This window comes from Homo sapiens, chromosome 14 (genome assembly GCF_000001405.40).
Source record: "Homo sapiens chromosome 14, GRCh38.p14 Primary Assembly".
Classification (NCBI taxonomy): Eukaryota; Metazoa; Chordata; class Mammalia; order Primates; family Hominidae; genus Homo; species Homo sapiens.
The window spans coordinates 81284970-81303924 of record NC_000014.9 but is presented as its reverse complement, the minus strand read 5'-3'; the positions used below and the strand labels follow the sequence as shown (position 1 = coordinate 81303924).

The following is an 18955-nucleotide window of genomic DNA, read 5'->3' as shown; positions in this document are numbered from 1 at the left end:
GGGTGCTGGTTACATGCATGTGCTCAACTGTGAAAATATATGGAGCTACGATATGTGCACTTTTCTGTATATGCGTTCTACTTCAAGGAGGTTAAAAGGGCATTGGTTTCGAAACCTGGTTGATATTTGACCATAGGCATGTTATGTAAGCTCTATGAGTTTCATTTTCCTCACATATAAACTGTAAATATACCTCCCCTTGGGTTGTCATAGGGTTAATGAAGGCAAAATCCAGTCCAGGATGGGACAGTAAAATATTTCATGTACCTGATCTGCTCACTGAGGAAGAGGGTGACAAACGGAAGCAGACCCTTCCTGTGTTAAGATTTGGAGCCTCTCTCTGGGGTTCATTGCTTTGTTGGAAGAATGACCTCATGTCATTATTGATGTTGTGAATGGAACCTGTTTCAGTGTGTCACTGTGGTGGCGCAATGACTCAGCCACTGGGGCAAAGGGCACTTCTGCCTGTCAGGGCCACTGCTTGACACTTGTCCCACACCACCACTGTTGGTTTCCTTTTTCTGTGCTTAGTCATAGCCACACCTGCAAGTGTGCACAATGCTTGATCCAGGTGTGCACTTAGTAAATATTTACTGAGTGCCTGCTGTGTGTCAGGCTCTGATGGAGCATATAATAATGACTAAAAGCAGAGTAAAAGTAAAACAACATAACACATTGAAGGCTTGCCCTTCAAATATTTTGGTCTACTAACAAGGTAGACATGTTTCTTCTGAAAGCTACTTTTCCCCGTCTCTTCCCTTCTTTCTCTCTGCTTATCCTCTGCTCACCCAATACACATTTTCTTATTCTCATTCTCATTTGTATTCATTATCTCTTTTACACACACACACACACACACACACACCCCCCACACATGTACACCCTCACTGAACTCCATTCCATATAATCAGTCTAACAGCCATTTAACAAAAGCAATCAACTCAGCAAATATTTTTCTACTTGTTCCTGCCCCTCCAAACTATAGATGGCAGTGCCTTACATTAATTATAGCAGAAACAATCATTAAGTGTTCATTCTGTGTACGGCACCATGTCAGGTACTTGCCCACATCATCTGTAATTCTCACAACATCCTGCAGGGCATCGTTATCCCATTTGATAGGTGAGGGACCTGAGGCTTACAGATCTTATATAATTTTCCCACTGTCCCCTACAGCCTGTTTGTGGCACAGCACAAGTCCGCTGTCTCTTGACATGCTGTATTCCTTGTGGAGACATTTGCAGTGTCCTCTCTGATGATTAAATGATGTAAACACCCTCTGTATCAGTTTGTCATGCAATCAACTTTATATGCAAAGCTGTGTATTAGCAGAAGTTGCCACTATGGATTCTGACACCATGGTCATTCTCTTACTTTAATGAGTGTAGTTTGACTAGAAATGTCAGTATAGAACCAGTCAGCCTTGCAAACACTTTCTGAGTTGTTGCATAAATGCTTTAACATTCAGAAGCACTAACCTGCTGCACCATCCGAAGGGATACTGAGCCTATTTCGTTATCTATATTAAAATCTTGGATCCAAGTGAGACTTTCCATCACTACAGGAAGAGCCTGTGTGTATTGAGAAAGTTCTGCCATTTTGGGCCTTCTTTATTAGACTGTCTCTCTTAGACTACTTTAACACTTATTGTTAGCCTCTGTTCCAGAAATTTGTAGACAGATAGGGGTATCTGATGCTGATTAAAGTGAGTATTGCTGTAAGCTGGGCACAGAGGGGCAGCTGATATGGTGCATGCTTACAAATGCTGTTCTAAATGGTTTTCCACAGACAGGCACAGTCCAGAGTGGCTACTACTCCCATTAGTCCTGATGTTTTTGTGTCCTCGCCTCCAGCCTTCTAATAAACCACTCTGATTGGGACAGCCAACTGCCCTCAGTGCACAGTGTCATGTTATGCATTGGGGCTTGAGTCATATTCAAGTGAGGAGGGAGGTCAAAGCTAGCAAATCACCATGGGCTTAAGATCTAGGCTTAAGCTGTTTAGCCTCAGAAACTTAATATTATTGTATTGAGAAGCAAGCATTTCTGGAGATTGACAAATCTACAATAGGAGATGTATATTGGGCAATATGACTAATAACAGTTATTTGTTCAAAAACTAAAAGCTACTAAAAATGGAGTTTCCTCTGCATGGGCTCAGTTCTTTACATGTATTTTTTCCAGTTCTCACAACAACCCTTCAAGTTTTTGAGTAATTATTCACATTTCACAAATGTGAATACTGAGCTGGCATCCCAACCAGATGTATTTACTTCCAAATCTTGAGCACGTTCCACTCTGTCTCAATGTCTTCAGACATTCTCTCTGCTAGTATATCACCCAACTGAAATGTCAGCTCCTTTGCCAGTTTGGCTTCAACTATCCCAGGCAGAATTACTGGTCATTTCCTCTTTTGGGTTCACACAGCACTTTTTATATACCCATAAGAACACTTTGTGTTGTATTGTAATTGCTTTTGCTGTATTGTGGTTGTTGGTTTATTTGCCTGTTGCCTCTGCTAGTCTCTGAACTTCTTAAAGGTAGTGACAAAGTCTTATTCCTTCTTTTACATTTAGCTTGTCATAGGACCTGGCAGTGTTGTGTAGTGTGGAAGGACTGAGTTTAAATCTTGTGTCTTTTTTGGCTGACATTATGTTTTTCGGACATGGTTTACTGCCTAGTAACAAATAGAGTATGTTCAATAAATATTGAATGAGAGAATATAATCTTAGATATTATTTTTTCTCTATTAATTATTTCTATTATTAAAGCTGAAGGATAAAAATATCTTCCTTATGGGGTTGGTGTGAGATTAAATGAATGAATCAAACCTGGAGAAATGATGGTGCAATAGTAACTTCTGAGATTCAGAGAATGGTTATGAGATTCGTCATGTTGTTGCATATATAAATGGTCATTTTATTTTTATTGCTATAGTGGTATTCTATGATATGAATATGATACTCTTTGCTTATTCATTCTCCTATTGATAGGCATTTGGGGTGTTTCCAGGTTTTCACTATTATTAATAAAGCTGCTGTGAACATTCTTGAACAAGTCTATTTGTAGACATATTTTTCATTTCTCTTGAGAACAAACATAGGAGTAGAATTGTTGGGTCATAAAGTAGGTGAATGTTTAAATTTATCATTTAAACCATTTTTAACTGCCAAACCATTTTTAAATGTGATTTTACCATTTTATACTCTCACCAATGACGCACGAGAGTCCTAGTTGCTCCACATCTTTGTTCACATTTGATATTATCATGGGAGTATTTAGGATCTCATTATAGCTTAATTTGTACTTGCCTGGTGTCTGATGATGCTGAGCACCTTTTCATGTGCTATCTAGCCATTTATATAGTTTCGTTGTGGCCTACTGAGGTGTTTGTATTTTTATTATTGATTTCTGGGAGTTATGTATTCTTTTATCAGTGGCTTGCCTTTTAACTTTTTTACTGATGTCTTGATAAATTGATGAAGTACAATTTATTTATATTTTTTCTTTTATGGTTAGCGCCTCTTGTGTCCTAAGAAATTTTTGCCTACCCTAAGGTCATGGAGATATTTTTCTATGTTTTCCTCTAGAAGCTTTATAGTTTTGGCTTTCTTGTAGATCTGTGATCCCTTTCAGATTAATTTTTAGACAGAGAGAGAGAAGGAAGGGTAAAGGTCTACTTTTTCTGTATGGATATCTAGTTGCTCCAGGATGTTTTATTGAGAACTTTTTTTCTTGAATTCCATGGCATCTTTGCCCAAACTCAAGTGACTTTACATGCGTGGGTCCACTTCTACACTCTTCATTTTGTTCCATTAACTTATTTATCTTTCCTATGAGATTGTCTTAATTACTGAAACTTTATAGTCAATCTTGAAATTTGGTAGTTTTGAGTCCTACAACATTTTTCTTCTTTGAGATTGTCTTGGTGATTGATAGGCTTTGATAGAAATTGACCAACTATCAAAAAAATTTTTTTAAGCCTGGGAGTTTTTATTGGAATCATATTGATTCTATAGATCAATTTAAAAAAAAAAAAAATTTTTTTTCCATCTTAACAATTTTGAGTTTTCAAATCCATGAACATGAAATCTCTCCATTTATTTAGGCCTTCTTTAACTTCTCTCAACAGTGAAGAGGCCTTACACATCTTTTATTAAGTTTACTTCTATGTAGTTGATATTTTTATGCTATAGTAAACAATATTTTTAGAGGTCTTATTTCCAGTTGACTTGTTACTAGTATTTTAATATATAATTGAGTTTTTAAAGAATGACTTTGTATCCTGAGGACTTGCTGTATTCAGTTTTACAATTATTTTTACTTTTGTTAAGAAGGTTGATAAAGGAAAAACTGAAAACAGCAACAGCCCAAAATGCTCATAAGTTAGCCACAGGGCTCAACCTCTTTCTTTTACTTTTTATTCCTTTTTCTTGCCTTGTTGCAATGCCTAAGGACTCCATTACAACGCTGAATAGGTGAGACTGGGAGGAACACTTTCAATATTTCACCATTGTGATGTTAGCTGAGGGTTTTCTTTTTGTATATGCCCTTTATCAGGTTGAGGAAGTTCCCTTCCATTCTTAGTATGGTGATAATAGTATTACTATTACAGTTAATGTAAGTTAAATTTTACCATACTTTTTCTACCTTTATTGAGATAGTCTCACATATATGTTTGTATAACACGTTAATTCTGTGCATGTATGGGTAACTTCTGCAATATTCCTGGTGGATGCAGAAGAGTTGCCTAAGACAAGCCCAGGCATGTGGTTTAAAGTGACCACCATGATTCTAGTACCAAATACAGTTTGGTGTCACTTGATCTGAGCCATGTGGCTAGAACTTATGAGTGTTTTGGGCTGTTGCTATTTTCAGTTTTTCCTTTATCAACCTTCTTAACAAAACAGATGTCTCTTATTTTGGTGGTAGAGGTGGGACTTTGGGTACTTTTTATGTCGTTCTCTTGTCTGTATTTTCTAAATTTCTTTAGTGACATGGATGAATTGTGTTTTAAAAAGTTTTAAAATTCTATATAATTAATTAGATTACAGATTAATACACTTCAAACACATTTCTACCAAGTCTTTCTAAAATTATATCCAACTCACCTTGCTTGGATATGGGTGTTTCTTAAATCTCTGAGAGCAACATATTCACAAACCATTTCGTGGTGGGTGACTAAGGATTTCTCTGTTGATCCTTTAATCATTTAATTTTAGAAGGTGCTCATTTTTTCATCTGTCCCAACTTCAGTTTCCTGGATGAAACTCCTAGCATGGTTCTGTTCAACATGCTTTTCTGTAGTTTCTCTTCCTTGGGAACTTACCAGAGCAGGAAAATAAACACCAACAGATTGTGTGTGTCATGACAGAGGTATATAGATCAGGGATTTCAGCCGCGCTTGGGAATTTAATGACTTGCAACAGATGGAGTCTGAGTCCAGGGTGACTTTGCTCAGGGGTAATTCTTAGTAAGTTTGGCTTTTAAATTCTGTGATTCCCCCCCCCCATCTGAAGCAGTTGAGGCTTTAGAGGCCTGGAGCTAGAGGAAGCCTCCCTCAGACTAGTCTGTGGATGACAGCCCTAGGATGTGGAATAGGGATTGGAGATAGACTGTTATTTCCAGCTGCTGTGCTTTGTTTTTGTGGAACAGGAAGTCATTATCTGGAGATTCACAATTTCTTGATAGCTCATTTCTCCTTCCTGGAAGGGCACCCGCATCTAGAATAGGCTTCATCGCTGGAATTATAGAGCCCCCACAAGGAGCTCTATTTGACTCCTTTTTTTCTTTCTAATTACAGATTCCTGATAGAAGGAATGTTTTCTCCTCTTTCTCAGTACTTAATGTGCATGGCAATAAATATCAGTTATTATTATTTTTCTTTTGAGACAGAGTTTTGCTCTTGTTGCCCAGGCTGGAGTGCAATGGCGCCATCTTGGCTCACCACAACCTCTGCCTCCCAGGTTCAAGCGATTCTCCTGCCTCAGCCTCCCGAGTAGCTGGGAGTACAGGCATGCGCCCCAAACCCATCTAATTTTGTATTTTTAGTAGAAATGGGGTTTCTCCATGTTGGTCAGGCTGGTCTCAAACTCCTGACCTCAGGTGATCTGCCCGTCTCGGCCTCCCGAAGTGCTGGGATTACAGGCGTGAGCCACTGTGCCCAGCTGGCCAGTTATTTTTATTACTTTCTATTGATTATTAAAGTTAGAAAGTTTTATACTATACGAAGCAAAACAAACCTCAAACCTCAAAATGAATGAATAAGTGCTCCTTGTCATTTTTTACCAGTAATAATGAAAATAATTTAAATCATATAGCATGCCATATTTTACAGTAGCATTCACATGTCTTATTTGGTCCTCACAACCATATTGTGGGGCATAGGAAATATCATTATCCTCCTTAAAAGTGAGGAAACAGACTCAGAAATTGAGAAATTTGCTCAAGATTGGACAGTTCTAACAATGTAGAGCTACAGTCCAAATGCTGCAGTATACCAGAGTGGTTAAGACTAAGGGTTGCCAACTCAGACCTCTTGGGTTCAGATCCTAGCTCTTCCTCTTACTAGCTTTGTAACTTTGGCCATGTCACCTAACCTCTGTGCCTTAGTGTCCCCCCTTACTAAAATAGAGGTAATGGAGACTTACCTCATACAGATGTCTCCTAGATCAAATGAGATCATTTTGGTATAGCTCTAGACAGACCAGCTGGCATACAGTACCTGGTTGGTGAGGGTCAGCCAGGCCACTACTTGTCTTGGAGGCAGCGGTGGTAGATTTTTATCTTTCCGTCCTTCCAGCTACCTCTCCTGCCTTGAAACCTGAAGTCAACTCCAGGAGTCACCAAAGTGCCTGACACACTCCGGAAGTCCCCAAGGGCCCTGTAGGGTTAGAGAATCCAACCCCAAATTAAATACTTTAAAGAAAAACTCATACCATAAAGATCTTTTTCCTTGGTTCAGTTTTGCCAGGTGGCTGAAGATGGTATGTGCTTATTTCCTCTTACACAAGCTTAATCAGAAATCTTAAGAAAGTTTTAGATAGGATTGTTACATTCTTCCTCTCTAAATATTTTAGGGAGTATTTGTTCTTTATTTGCCATCAACATTTATCAAATGCATGCTGACTTGTGTATTTGCCACAGTCTGCTCTTGAAGTAGCATAGAAATTCCTATGCTATACAGTACATGTTCTTAAAAAGTCTTTGAGGAAGCAACCCTCTGTGTTTTATATTGTGCAACCTGCCCTACAGTTAAGTAAGGTTTTTGCTTATGAGTGGGGAGACAGTTCATCTTTATGTCTTTTGCTTGACTTCTCTCATATATGCAGAGAAAAAGAGACAAAGAGAAAAAGAGACATATGCCAGTCTGCTGTGTGTCTAGCTGCAAAGGGGGTTCGAGCCTATCCCTAGGAAATGCCCTCAATGAAGGATACAAAGGTTACTATTTTTAGAGTGGAGGGCAGCATGTTTGTCAACATTTCATGGTGTGTCACAGCCAGGCAGGAAACTTTAGATTTGAAAATAGAAGTCTTGATCCCATTACCTCATTTTTGTCTACTGAAGTCCCTGACTTTAAATGTCAACAGGAATCAAATTTACTTCATAAAACAAATCATCAGCATTGATCGTTCTCTATCTAGCACCACATTTTCTCATTACTTTTCACATATCCTGTATTCCCCACTCTGAGGCAGCCAGACGTTGCATATATGTACTAAAATTAAATACATTTAATGTCCTGCCCTCCAAACTGTTTTAGCATACACAATGCTCATACTAACAGCTTGGTTAGATGTTGCCAACAACTACTGTACTTACTGTCTTCCACACTGCCTGTTTTGAATATTGTCCTATGAGAATTCTCATCCCAAAATACTACGGAAAAAATGTAGGCTCTATAACTGGATATGCAGAATAATCCTTATGTTTTAGAACTGTTTATGTTTATGAATGTGTACATAGAGTAAGACTGCTTGAAGGAAACACACATTATGATGGTGACATTGATTATCTGGGGTAGCAGCAGGATTTAGGTGCTTTTTATGTGCTTCTGCACCTTCCAAATTTTCTAACATATAACTAGTTTCTTAAAGTTATTAAGAAATTTAATTTCTTGATATTTATAGAAACAAACTTATTTATTTTAGAACTTGGTGACTTGAACATCTGTAAAACCAATGTGCTTTGAAATGAATTCATATGTGAATGCCTTAGATTCAATGTGCCTTAAATCTTGAGTCGTTTTCATTGGAGGCAAAGAATACTTAACTCTATGGCCCTAAGGACAGTGGGGGACAAGTCACTTGAGTGGCATCTGCCACTTCAGGACATATAAAGGTGCAAGAATGTTCTAGCCTTTCCACTTTCCCCTATTCTGTGGTTACTTGATTTAATTTCCTTTCTCAGAAGTTCTTTTGGTATTTAGGAGATCGTTGAAAAAGCCATGACCTCTTTCATCTGATACATAACCAAGACTCTCAACGCAGATCCATAGTTGGTATAGACAAGTTTTGGTTTAATAGAGCTGTAAATAAATGTTCCAAGAATGCTTTCTCCATATTTATAATCTTCTATTTCTTTTCTTTTCTTTTCTTTTTTGAGATGGAGTCTTGCTGTGTAGCCCAGGCTGGAGTGCAATGGCACAATCTCGGCTCACTGCAACCTCTGCCTCCCGGGTTCAAGCCATTCTCCTGCCTCAGCCTCCAGAGTAGCTGGGACTACAGGTGCCCGCCACCACAGCCGGCTAATTTTTTCGTATTTTTAGTAGAGATGGGGTTTCACTGTGTTAGCCAGGATGGTCTCAATCTCCTGACCTCGTGATCCGCCCACCTCGGCCTCCTAAAGTGTTGGGATTACAGGCATGAGCCACCGTGCCCGGCCCTATGATCTTCTATTTCTAAAATGCAATAACTGCCCACCCGGCACCCACTTAAACAGCATGAGGAATGCAGGATTGATTTGGAACCTTGAATTACCTCAATGTCTGAATAGCAATTGTAGGCCTTACCATACAGTGGTTGAGCACTTTTGAATGTTTAGAAGCATGTTCACATGTGTTATTTCATATTTGCTTCCAAACGACCCTGTGAACTAGGGCAGGGATTAGGATTATTTCATGTTCCCATGAGGAAATGGCACAAAGAGGCTTGCCTTAGACCTCAGTGAGTTTGTGGTAGAGCCAGGACTAGAAATAAAACCTTTCATCCCATGACTTTATCAAAGGCCCCACAATTCCAGATGTCTCTTTCCAGGATCTTCCCCAGGGATACATGGACTCTAAGGAATAATCATGATAATAATAATATCAAAAATAAAATGTTTGCTATATATACTTCATATACATTAACTCAGTTCTCACAACAATGTAAGAGGTAAGTACTATTATTATCTCAATAGGCCTTAGTTGAGGGAATGGAGGCCTAGTACATTTAAGTAACTTACACAAGGTCACAGAGCTAGTAGGTGGAGTAGAGTAGCCAAGAGATGAACCAGCATGGAGCCATAGTCCGTGCTCTTAACCACTTGACAATGCGGTTAAGTCCTGTCTGCTTCCCACCTGTTTATGCCTAGGTTGACCTAGGCCAAAGATGGAAATTCTTCTGGTAAGGGTCCTAAAACTCCTTTTCTCCAAACTTACAGAAGTATGTGTCTTATATTACTTAAGCAATAAGAATACTGTCCTATCTCCTTGTGGAAAGAATCAGGGAGAGTAAAGAGGCATAACAAAACTGAAATATTTTTGCTCAATAGTTAGACAAGATTGGAAGGTTCTAGGAATTTATATCTGCCATGGTTGCTGCAAGGATCTTTTCATCTATCTCTTGTCTGGCTGCTAAGGAGCTTGAATTGCAAGTAACAGAAGCCAATTTTACTGTGAGCGAAAATAACTTATTCTGAAGACATAGTAGCTTACAGAAGCAAAAGAAAAACTGAATACCCAGGCTTCAGGAAGTTGGTGTATCAGCTTTTACTGTGTTACAACCACCTCAAAATTTAGTAGCTGAAGAAAAAAACCCACCATTTGTTTAGCTTATGATTCTGCAAATCAGCAATCTGGTCAGTGCTTGAGCATTCCCCTACCTGTGCTAGGCTCAGCTGACCTCCTCAGCAGCCCACTCATGGGTCTGCAGTCCCATGAGTAGCCTAGTTGGCTACTATGTCTTGATTCTCCCTATGGTCATTCATCCCCTGGAAGGGTCACTCACATTATGGTCTTGGAGTTCCAAGTATAGCAAAAGAAGGCAAGCCCCAGTGCACAAGCACTCTTCTAGTCTCTGCTTAAGATATATGTATTTAATCTCGACTAAAGCAAATCACATAGCCAAGCTCAGAGTCGGAGTGGGAGGCAGCTGCCCAAGAGTACAGATAGAGAAGGAGGAAGAATCTGTGGCCATTTTTGTTATCTCCCACAGATGGCCAGGAACCTTGGCACCTTTAAGACTCAAGTCACCAGTCGAGTGTGGTGACTCACGCCTGTAATCCCAGCACTTTGGGAGGCCGAGGCAGGTAGATCACAAGGTCAAGAGATCGAGACCATCCTGGCCAACATAGTGAAACCCCATCTCTACTGAAAATACAAAAATCAGTTGGGCGTGGTGGCACGCTCCTGCAGTCCCAGCTACTCGGGAGGCTGAGGCAGGAGAATGGCTTAAACCCAGGAGGCAGAGGTTGCAGTGAGCCAAGATCGCACCACTGCACTCCAGCCTGATGACGGAGCGAGACTCCATCTCAAAAAAAAAAAAAAAAGACACAAGTCAGCAAGAACTAAGGTGAAGGCTTCCTAGGGTGCCACCGTCTGAATAACTTAGCCCCCACTATCTTCCTGCCCTTGAGTCAGTCCATTTAAGATTTCCAAAAAGAACCTCACTGTGCTTGAATTACATGCATCATGGATGGTGCACCTTGGTTGACAGTCAATGAAGACTTGAGCAAGACGGGGGAGTCCCCAAAAGGACAATTGTGAAGTTGTAACCCAGATCAGTGCGGAGGGATGCAGAGAAGGCAATACAATATTCCTTCTCTCTGTATTGTTCACTATGTTGACTTTGTCCTTTCCCTCTGAACCATGTTGGTTTAAGAATTTATTAAGGGCAAAAGTAGTAATCTCAGCCTGTTACTTGAACAACAGAAGATTTCAAATATTCAACTCAGAAGACACTTATTATAAAGGTAGTGGTGCTATTAGTCCACTGTCACACTGCTATAAAGAACTGCCCAAGACTGGGTAATTTATAAAGGAAAGAGGTTTAATTGACTTACAGTTCTGCGGGGTTGGGGAGGCCTCAGGAAACTTACAAACATGATGGAAGGGGAACCAAACACATCCTTCTTCACATGGTGGCAGGAAGGAGAAGTGCCAAGCAAAGTGGGCAAAACCCCTTATAAAACCATCAGACCTCATGAGAACTCACAATCATGAGAACAGCACAGGGGTAACTTGCCCCCATCATTCAGTTAACTGCCACCAGGTCCCTCCAATGACAAGAGGGGATTATGGGAACCATAAGTCAAGATGAGATTTGGATGGGGACACAGCCAAACCATATCACCTGGCATGGGTCAAGATCTCACTGACCTCTCCTCTTTTTGTCATTGCTGCATATTTATTGGATACCAAGTGTATAGCCAAGAAAGGGACTGGACTGGTGTTCTGATGTGAGATAACATGATCCTTGGCCCTGGCAGCAACTCCAGCAGTTGTTTGTTTAAATCAGTTTTAGAATTTGTGCAGAATTGGAATGCTGGTTTTAAGACTTTCTAGAAATAAAGAAGGGATGGCAGTAAAGTCGACATTTAGCTGAAGTCCAAGCAACAGGCAAAGCCTAAGATAGGCTGTTACCATTGTCACCAGGGAGCTAGAGCACTTAAGATTGAATTATTGCCCAAATAATAGAAAGGTTTAAAGGAATAACAGATCCTTCATATTTGCCAAAATACCTTTCCCTTTGGACTGACAACCAGGGCCATTTTTCTGGCTATAATAGCCTACTCTTACAAAGGATAGGGAAGAGGTGATATCCGTGTGTGTGTGTGTGTGTGTGTGTGTGTGTGTGTGTGTGTGTGTACCCATGCTAAGTATTTGAAACATGCCTAGTATACTAAGCATTTTCTCCACATGTTTGATCAAGTTTCTACAAAGGTTTAATCATGATCCTCTAATATATTTAGAATAAATGTGTTAGTTTATTCTAATAAACTAATTTATTAGAATAATAAATTAAACTAAAACTAATAAATTTATTAGTTTATTCTAATAAACTAATAAACATACAAACATACTAGGTGTTTTAGTTAATGTTTTGTAACATAATAAATAAAAAGTAGAAACATTGAAAAGATGGGTTAAAAAGTGAACAAAAATAGAAGTTGTAAAATATTTTCTTTCCATACCCCAGTGGATCAATTGAGTATCTCCTTAAGTCTACTGTTCCACTTTGGGGACTGCTTGTCTAGACTGCTAAAACGTTTTATACCTGCCCAACAATTACAAAGACATTTCTCAGTACCAGAGGGATAATAGAAAGTTGAACATTCTGCCTTGATCAAAGTGTATTCATGACTTAATACTTCCTTTATGTGGTGAATTCCTGTACTTCTTTGGTATATCCATACTGGCTTTGTGAATGTATATGTCTTCATATACATTCTGTCTTCATAATTGTACTTCATACCTGAAGTACGGACTTTCATATCCCTTGTAGTTCTCAAGTCTTTGAAGTTTATCTCTGCAATAATTACGGAAAGGTTTGGATTCATGGAAATCATAACCTGTTCTTTCTTTCTCCAATTCCTTTCTTCATTCTTCCTGTCTCCTTTCCTTTTTTCTCTGTTGGATTGATAACTAATATAACTTCAAAGGCATTTTCCCTCCCTACTTCCTCCTATCCTGTTTTTTGCTGCTTTAAGAATTTTGAAATGAGACATATATATATTCTTCCTGTGAGAGCTAACATTTATTGAGCTATGTGCCAGGTGTATGCTGGGAATTAGTTGTTTTCCTGTTTTTCTAAGAGATTATCTTAACTTGATGTGTTTACACTTTTATAAACTGCATCTACCATCAGTCTGTGAGGATGTCCCCTTTGATCTTGGTAACTAAAAGAGAGTTGGACAAGTACTGAAATGAAATCAAATTACCAACTCCAAATCCAATTGAAAAGACAGGCCTACTGCATACATGAGCTATTTGGTTATTTTGTTGTCAGTGTCATTGCTGGAAAGTCCACATAAAGAACATGAGTTTTGGGTAATACAGATGAAAGGGGCCATCTGTAGGGATCCTTTCAGCTTGCAGTACTTGCCCCTAACCTTCCTGTGGGTGATGCTGGTCAGCTGACTGTATGCACCCTTACCCCCAACAGACTTCTTGAGTTTCTCCTGGAAATGATATAGCACAACAAAGGTAACAAACAGAAGATCGATGTGATACAGACTCAGAACGCATCTTCTTCTCCTAATTCCCAGGACACATGTACACAAGCACATATAATAACATGCAAGAGATCTCAGCTCTCTTTCTTTGCCCATATCACCAGCCCCCTGACCAACGTTACAGAATCCCCAACTTGATTGAAGCAGAAATTCTCATCACTAAGGTTCAAAATGATCAGACTTTGAATCTGGTAGAATGGCACTATTATAACTGTTTCAGGACTGTGAAGGCGAAGACTTTGCTGTGTGTGCTTAAAGTATGTTTGCCTATGAGGCTAAGAGACTTCTGAGAAGGTGAGACTAGTGAGACTACCAAGCTCCACTCTCAGAATAAGTAGGCATAGGTCTGTGCCCATACAATGGAATATAAAAGTATTATATATAAAGAGGCTGATGAGGACCAGCTCTGCAGCAGTGTTACTGATCTGTAGGACTTTAGTGCTGGTGAAAAGTAGACCCATATATTGAAGGAAGCAGTGAGGGAGATAATAGACAGAGCTATTGGTGAGACTGAAACCTCTAGGTTTATTTCATTTGGCCACTTGACATTCTCTTTAAGGCATAGCTTGGCTTTCTGTTATTCACCAACATAACCAGGAGGATAATCAAGCCCTTGCCCTTGTATAATTCCTGCTGAGTCTGTCCCACAAACCCTGGCCAACGGACGGATGGATGAAATGAGTACTCAGACACAGGTATGCAGTGTAAGAGCAGCTAGGGGACTGGCCGGCTCTGGTGGCCAAAGTGCAGCCCCGAGGAGCTGGAGCTGCTTGCTTTTTATTCAGTGCAGGCACAATGCCAAAAACCTGGAGCCAACACAACCAGCAGGTAATTAACATTTATTGTTCCCCTTTCAAGGAATGTCACACGCGCAGATGATAAAGGTCAGTTCCTGGTCAACATAAGTAAATAAGCCTGTTTAAGATAAATTCCCCCATACTCCCTTGTACCCACTCCTTGCCCTCTGCCTCAGGGTTATAGAACAGCTGTCTTCAGCTATTCTCCCCTGGGGCTCTGCAGAACCTTCCGACCTTTCAGAAGGTTTGCGTCCTTTCCCTATAGTTTTTCCCACCACTGACCAGTCCCCCACTTATTCCCTAATCTTTTATAAATCTGGTCCTTTTTTCTGTCTTCTAACTATTGCAACGGTGAGCCTTTACCTTCCGTGGCAATTCCAGGACCTGAGAATCATCTTACAAAGCCTGAAACTGATCTTACTTGCTCACCCAAGGGTGATGTGGCTGTTAGAAATGGGTATCTCTGACCAAATGTAACATCAGGGTTCAGTCCCATCTAATTCCACTTTAGGTTCTACTGATACAGCCTAGCCCTTCACTAACATCCAGGAACCTAATTGTTCCTGACCCCTTCAAAGGTCCAGAAGCTTCTTGGATCTTGCAAGCATCCTGCGTTGTTGCTGGGGTGTGTTCACCTGGTGGGCAGGTGAATAGTGAGGATGTGGAGGTGCACATGAGTGAGACTTCTGTGGCAGAGGGCAGTCCTAATGAGTCACCTGTCCTGGTCACAGTAAGAGTGTGGGCATTATAGTCCTGCCACTGCTTCTGGGGACTTACCCAGTGCTCCTCCAGGAAGTACTTTTTCTGGCTCCCCAGCCCTGGCATGGGTATAAGAAGTGTGCTAAAATCAGTAAGAATGGAGACCCCCCCACCCTTTTTCCCTTGCTCCTATGATACATTCTCCCTTATGGTACCTGTAGATATAGGACACCTTCTCTTTTAACCTCCGAAACAAAAAGAGCCCCCTTTTCACTTCTTTTCATACCATATAGGTGTTTGATGGTCCATTGAGCAGAGCTTCACATCCAAAAGGCTGAGCTCCTGCAAACTCCTTGGTTTAGTTCTCTTTGATCGGCTCATAAGTACAGCCATGCCCCACATAACATTTCAGTCAACAACAGAACACGTGTATGTCAGTGGTCCTGTATGACTCTACAACCATATTTTTACTGTACCTTTTCTATGTTTAGATATCTTTGGGTATACAAACGCTTATAATTGCCTGCAGTATTCAGTACAGTAACATGCTGTACACGTTTGTAGCTTAGGAGCAATAGGCTATACCATGCAGCCTCGGAGTATAGTAGGTTATACTATCTAGGTTTGTGTAACTACAGTCTATGATGATATACTACCTAGGTGTGTGTAACTACACTCTATCTATGATGTTCCCACAATGAGGAAATCACCATTGTTGATGCATTTCTCAGGATACATTCCTGTCATTAACCAACAATGGCGATACACTCTACAGTTGAAAATGACTATATTTGAGAATAGGAAGGAAACAGGTGCTTTTTGCTATGGCAATATAAAATAAAACACAGCTTAGGGTCTCTGCAGGTTTCACTATCACTAGTTAACTCTTTTCAAGATACCTTGTTATATAAAATGTTAAGGAACTAATTTATAAAGCAGAATACTGATTTTTCAGTTTACCATAGATGCCAGAATCTATCCCTGCCCTCGGCGTGAGACCTCTGCTGGGGAACTGGTGTTTGCCGTATCAGACCACAGCAAGGTGTCGTAATGGAGTCTCTGCCCAGGCTGAGTTGGAGAATGGAGCCCTCATCTAAGACAGCCCAAGAAACGGATATCAGAAAGGCACATTGAGGCAGGGAACCAATAAGCCAGTTCAGTCATAGTTGGTTGTCAGAGGAAGAGGCCAGAAGTAGGGATCCAAAGGTAGAGTATTGGGGAGAGCATGGGGAAGTGGGCAATGGTAAAACAGAGGCAGAAGTTTAGAACCAGAGAGAAAAGATATTCTTGGTCACCACGTGAGGCTGTACCCCACCAACATGGAATAAACTGGGGATAGTCCTGGACCAGTCAACAAACTTAAAGTCTGATGCTTGCTTTTCTGAGCAAAAAAAATGAAAGCTGGGATGTGTCAGGTCAGGCTGTCCTAATGGCAGGGAGGGAGTTGGCAGGGCAGGCTGAACCAGTCATTTGAAGAAGGTGCGCAGTACTGCTTCATAGGTCACCTTAGTAAGTAAAAATGAGAATGTGGTGTCTTGATAAAGATTCTGTTAAGTAATGTTAAGTGGTAGTTTGATGAACTGGCTTCTTCACTTTGGGAATATCTCTGACCAGGTACTTTATTTACCAGCATCGAAGCATCCTCCGTCCTGGACAATGCTGAGACAGATGAATACACTTATCCTCTGGCGTCCTCTTTATCATTAGTACGTATCATTTGTAATGACTAAGTAGGTCCCAGCGTAGACTTATCCTCCGGCTCCTCTTTTTATCATAGTATTTTGTTATGACTAAGTAGATTCCAGCATATTTTACGCACGTTAGAAGCTCCCTTGATAAGCTTGATATGACTAACTCCTCCCTTCTCTCACCCTATACATTTACACATTAGTGCATGACATCACTTGACCTTTTGCCCAAAGACTTCTCTATGTAAATAGATGTTAATCCTTAATTAATTAACTTATTTTCCCTGTTGAAAAATGTTCCTAAGAAGTTGTGTCAAGATAACTCTTGCCAATCTCAAAAGGTAATGGGAAAAATTCACCAGATTTTAGCTTAATGAACAAGCATTAAGGAAATACTAGAGTTACTAAAAATTAAAAGCAGGACTTGACTTCTGATCTCAACTTGGACAGTTTACTTAAAATTGCTGACCTCAGGCTTCTCTGTAAAATGAAGAGGTCAAGTTTTACTATTTCTGAAATCTCTCCAAGCCCCAAAATTCTGTGTTCCTCTTTTCACTTAACAAATTACTGCATAAATATGAAATACCTACTGTGTATCTGTGGCTGGTTGTACAGTTTTAAGTACAGGCATACATCAGATATACTGTAGGTTTGGTTTCAGACCACTGCAATAAAGCAAGGATTGCAGTAGAGCAAGTCACACATATTTTTTTGTTTCTTAGTACAGATAAAACTTATGCTTACACTATACTATAGTCTATTAGTTGTGCAATAGCATTATGTGTAAACAATGTACATGCTTTAATTAAAACCACTTTATTACTAAAAGTGCTAATGATCACCTGAGCCTTCAGCAAGACATAATCTTTTTCTGGTGAACAGCCTTGCCTCAGGGTGGTGGCTGCTGAGGGTTGGAATGGCCGTGACGATTTCTTAATGTAAAACAACAATGATGTTTGCTGCATCAATTGACCCTTCCTTTCATGAAAGATTTGTCTGTAGTATGTGATGCTATTTGATAACATTTAACACACTGTAGAACATCTTTCAGAATTGGAGTCAATCCTCTCAAATCCTGCTGCTGCTTTATCAACTAAGTTTATGTAATATTATTTTTAAACATATTTTCAATGTTTACTTATTTTATTTTTTTGAGACAAATAAATGGAAATGGCTCTGTCACCCAGGCTGGAGTGCAGTGGCGCAGTCTCGGCTCACTGCAACCTTCACCTCCTGGGTTCAAGTGATTCTCCTCCCTCAGCCTCATGAGTGGCTGGGACTACAGGTGCCCGCCACCATGCCCAGCTAATTTTTGTATTTTTAGTAGAGATGGGGTTTTGCCATGTTGGCCAGGCTGGTCTCGGACTCCTGACCTCAAGTGATCCACCCGCCTTGGCCTCCCAAAATGCTGGGATTACAGGCATGAGCCACCGCACCCGGCCTCAACTTTTATTTTAGATTCAGCAGGTACATGTGCAGGTTTGTTACATGGGCATATTACATGACATGGAAGTTTGGGGTATAAATGATCCTGTCACCCAGGTAGTAAGCATAGTACCCAATCTGTAGTTTTTCAGCCCTAGTTTATGTAATATTCTAAACTCTTTGCTGTCATTTCAACAGTGTTCACAGCATCTTCACCAGGAGTAGATTCTATCTCAAGAAAATACTTTATTTTCTCATCCATAAGATGCAACTCCTCATCCATTAAAGTTTTATCATGAGGCCGAGTGCAGTGGATCATGCTTATAATCTGAGCACTTAGGCAAAGGCGGAAGGATAGCTTGAGCCCAGGAGTTTGAGACCCTGTTCTCCATAAAAAGGAAAAAGAAAAGTTTTATCATGAGATTACAGCAATTCAGTCATATCTTCAGGTTTCACTTCTTGTTCTCTCACTGTTTCTACCACATCTGCAGTTATTTCCTCCACTGAAGTCTTGAACTCCTCAAAGTCATCCACAAGGCTTGGAATCAACTTTTACAAACTCCTGTGAATGTTAACTTCTCTCATGAATCACAGATGTTTGTAATGGCATCTAGAATGATGAATCCTTTCCAGGAGGTTGTCAGTTTACTTTGCCCCAATCCATCAGAGGAATTACTATCTATGGCAGCCTTACAAAATGTATTTCTTAAATAAGAAGACTTGAAAATCACAATTACTCCTTGATCCATGGGATAGAGAATGGATGTTGTGTTCCACGGCTGCAGGCATGAAAACAACATTAATCTCCTTGTACATCTCTATCAGTGCTCTTGGGTGGCCAGGTGCATTGTCAGTGCGTAGTAATATTTTTGGAAGGAACCTCTTTTTTCTGAGCGGTAGGTCTCAACCTGGG

At 40.1% G+C, this 18955-nt stretch overlaps 1 protein-coding gene across 15 annotated transcripts in view, besides 2 other annotated features; it reads left to right on the top strand.

Annotated features, from left to right (window-relative positions):
* Window positions 1-18955, top strand: part of STON2 (stonin 2) — a 175814-nt gene that overhangs the window by 132541 nt on the left and 24318 nt on the right. The window lies entirely within an intron of this gene.
* Window positions 365-509: an enhancer, noted in NCBI's record as "145 bp enhancer 109 fragment used in the MPRA reporter construct; PK_construct_3955". NCBI's record gives its function as "activates an SV40 promoter by MPRA in HepG2 cells {active_cell/tissue: HepG2}" and the evidence as "EXISTENCE:reporter gene assay evidence [ECO:0000049][PMID:23512712]".
* Window positions 432-442: a transcriptional cis regulatory region, noted in NCBI's record as "NFE2L2 motif; enhancer activity is reduced when this motif is scrambled". NCBI's record gives its function as "necessary for full MPRA enhancer 109 activity {active_cell/tissue: HepG2}" and the evidence as "EXISTENCE:site-directed mutagenesis evidence [ECO:0005528][PMID:23512712]".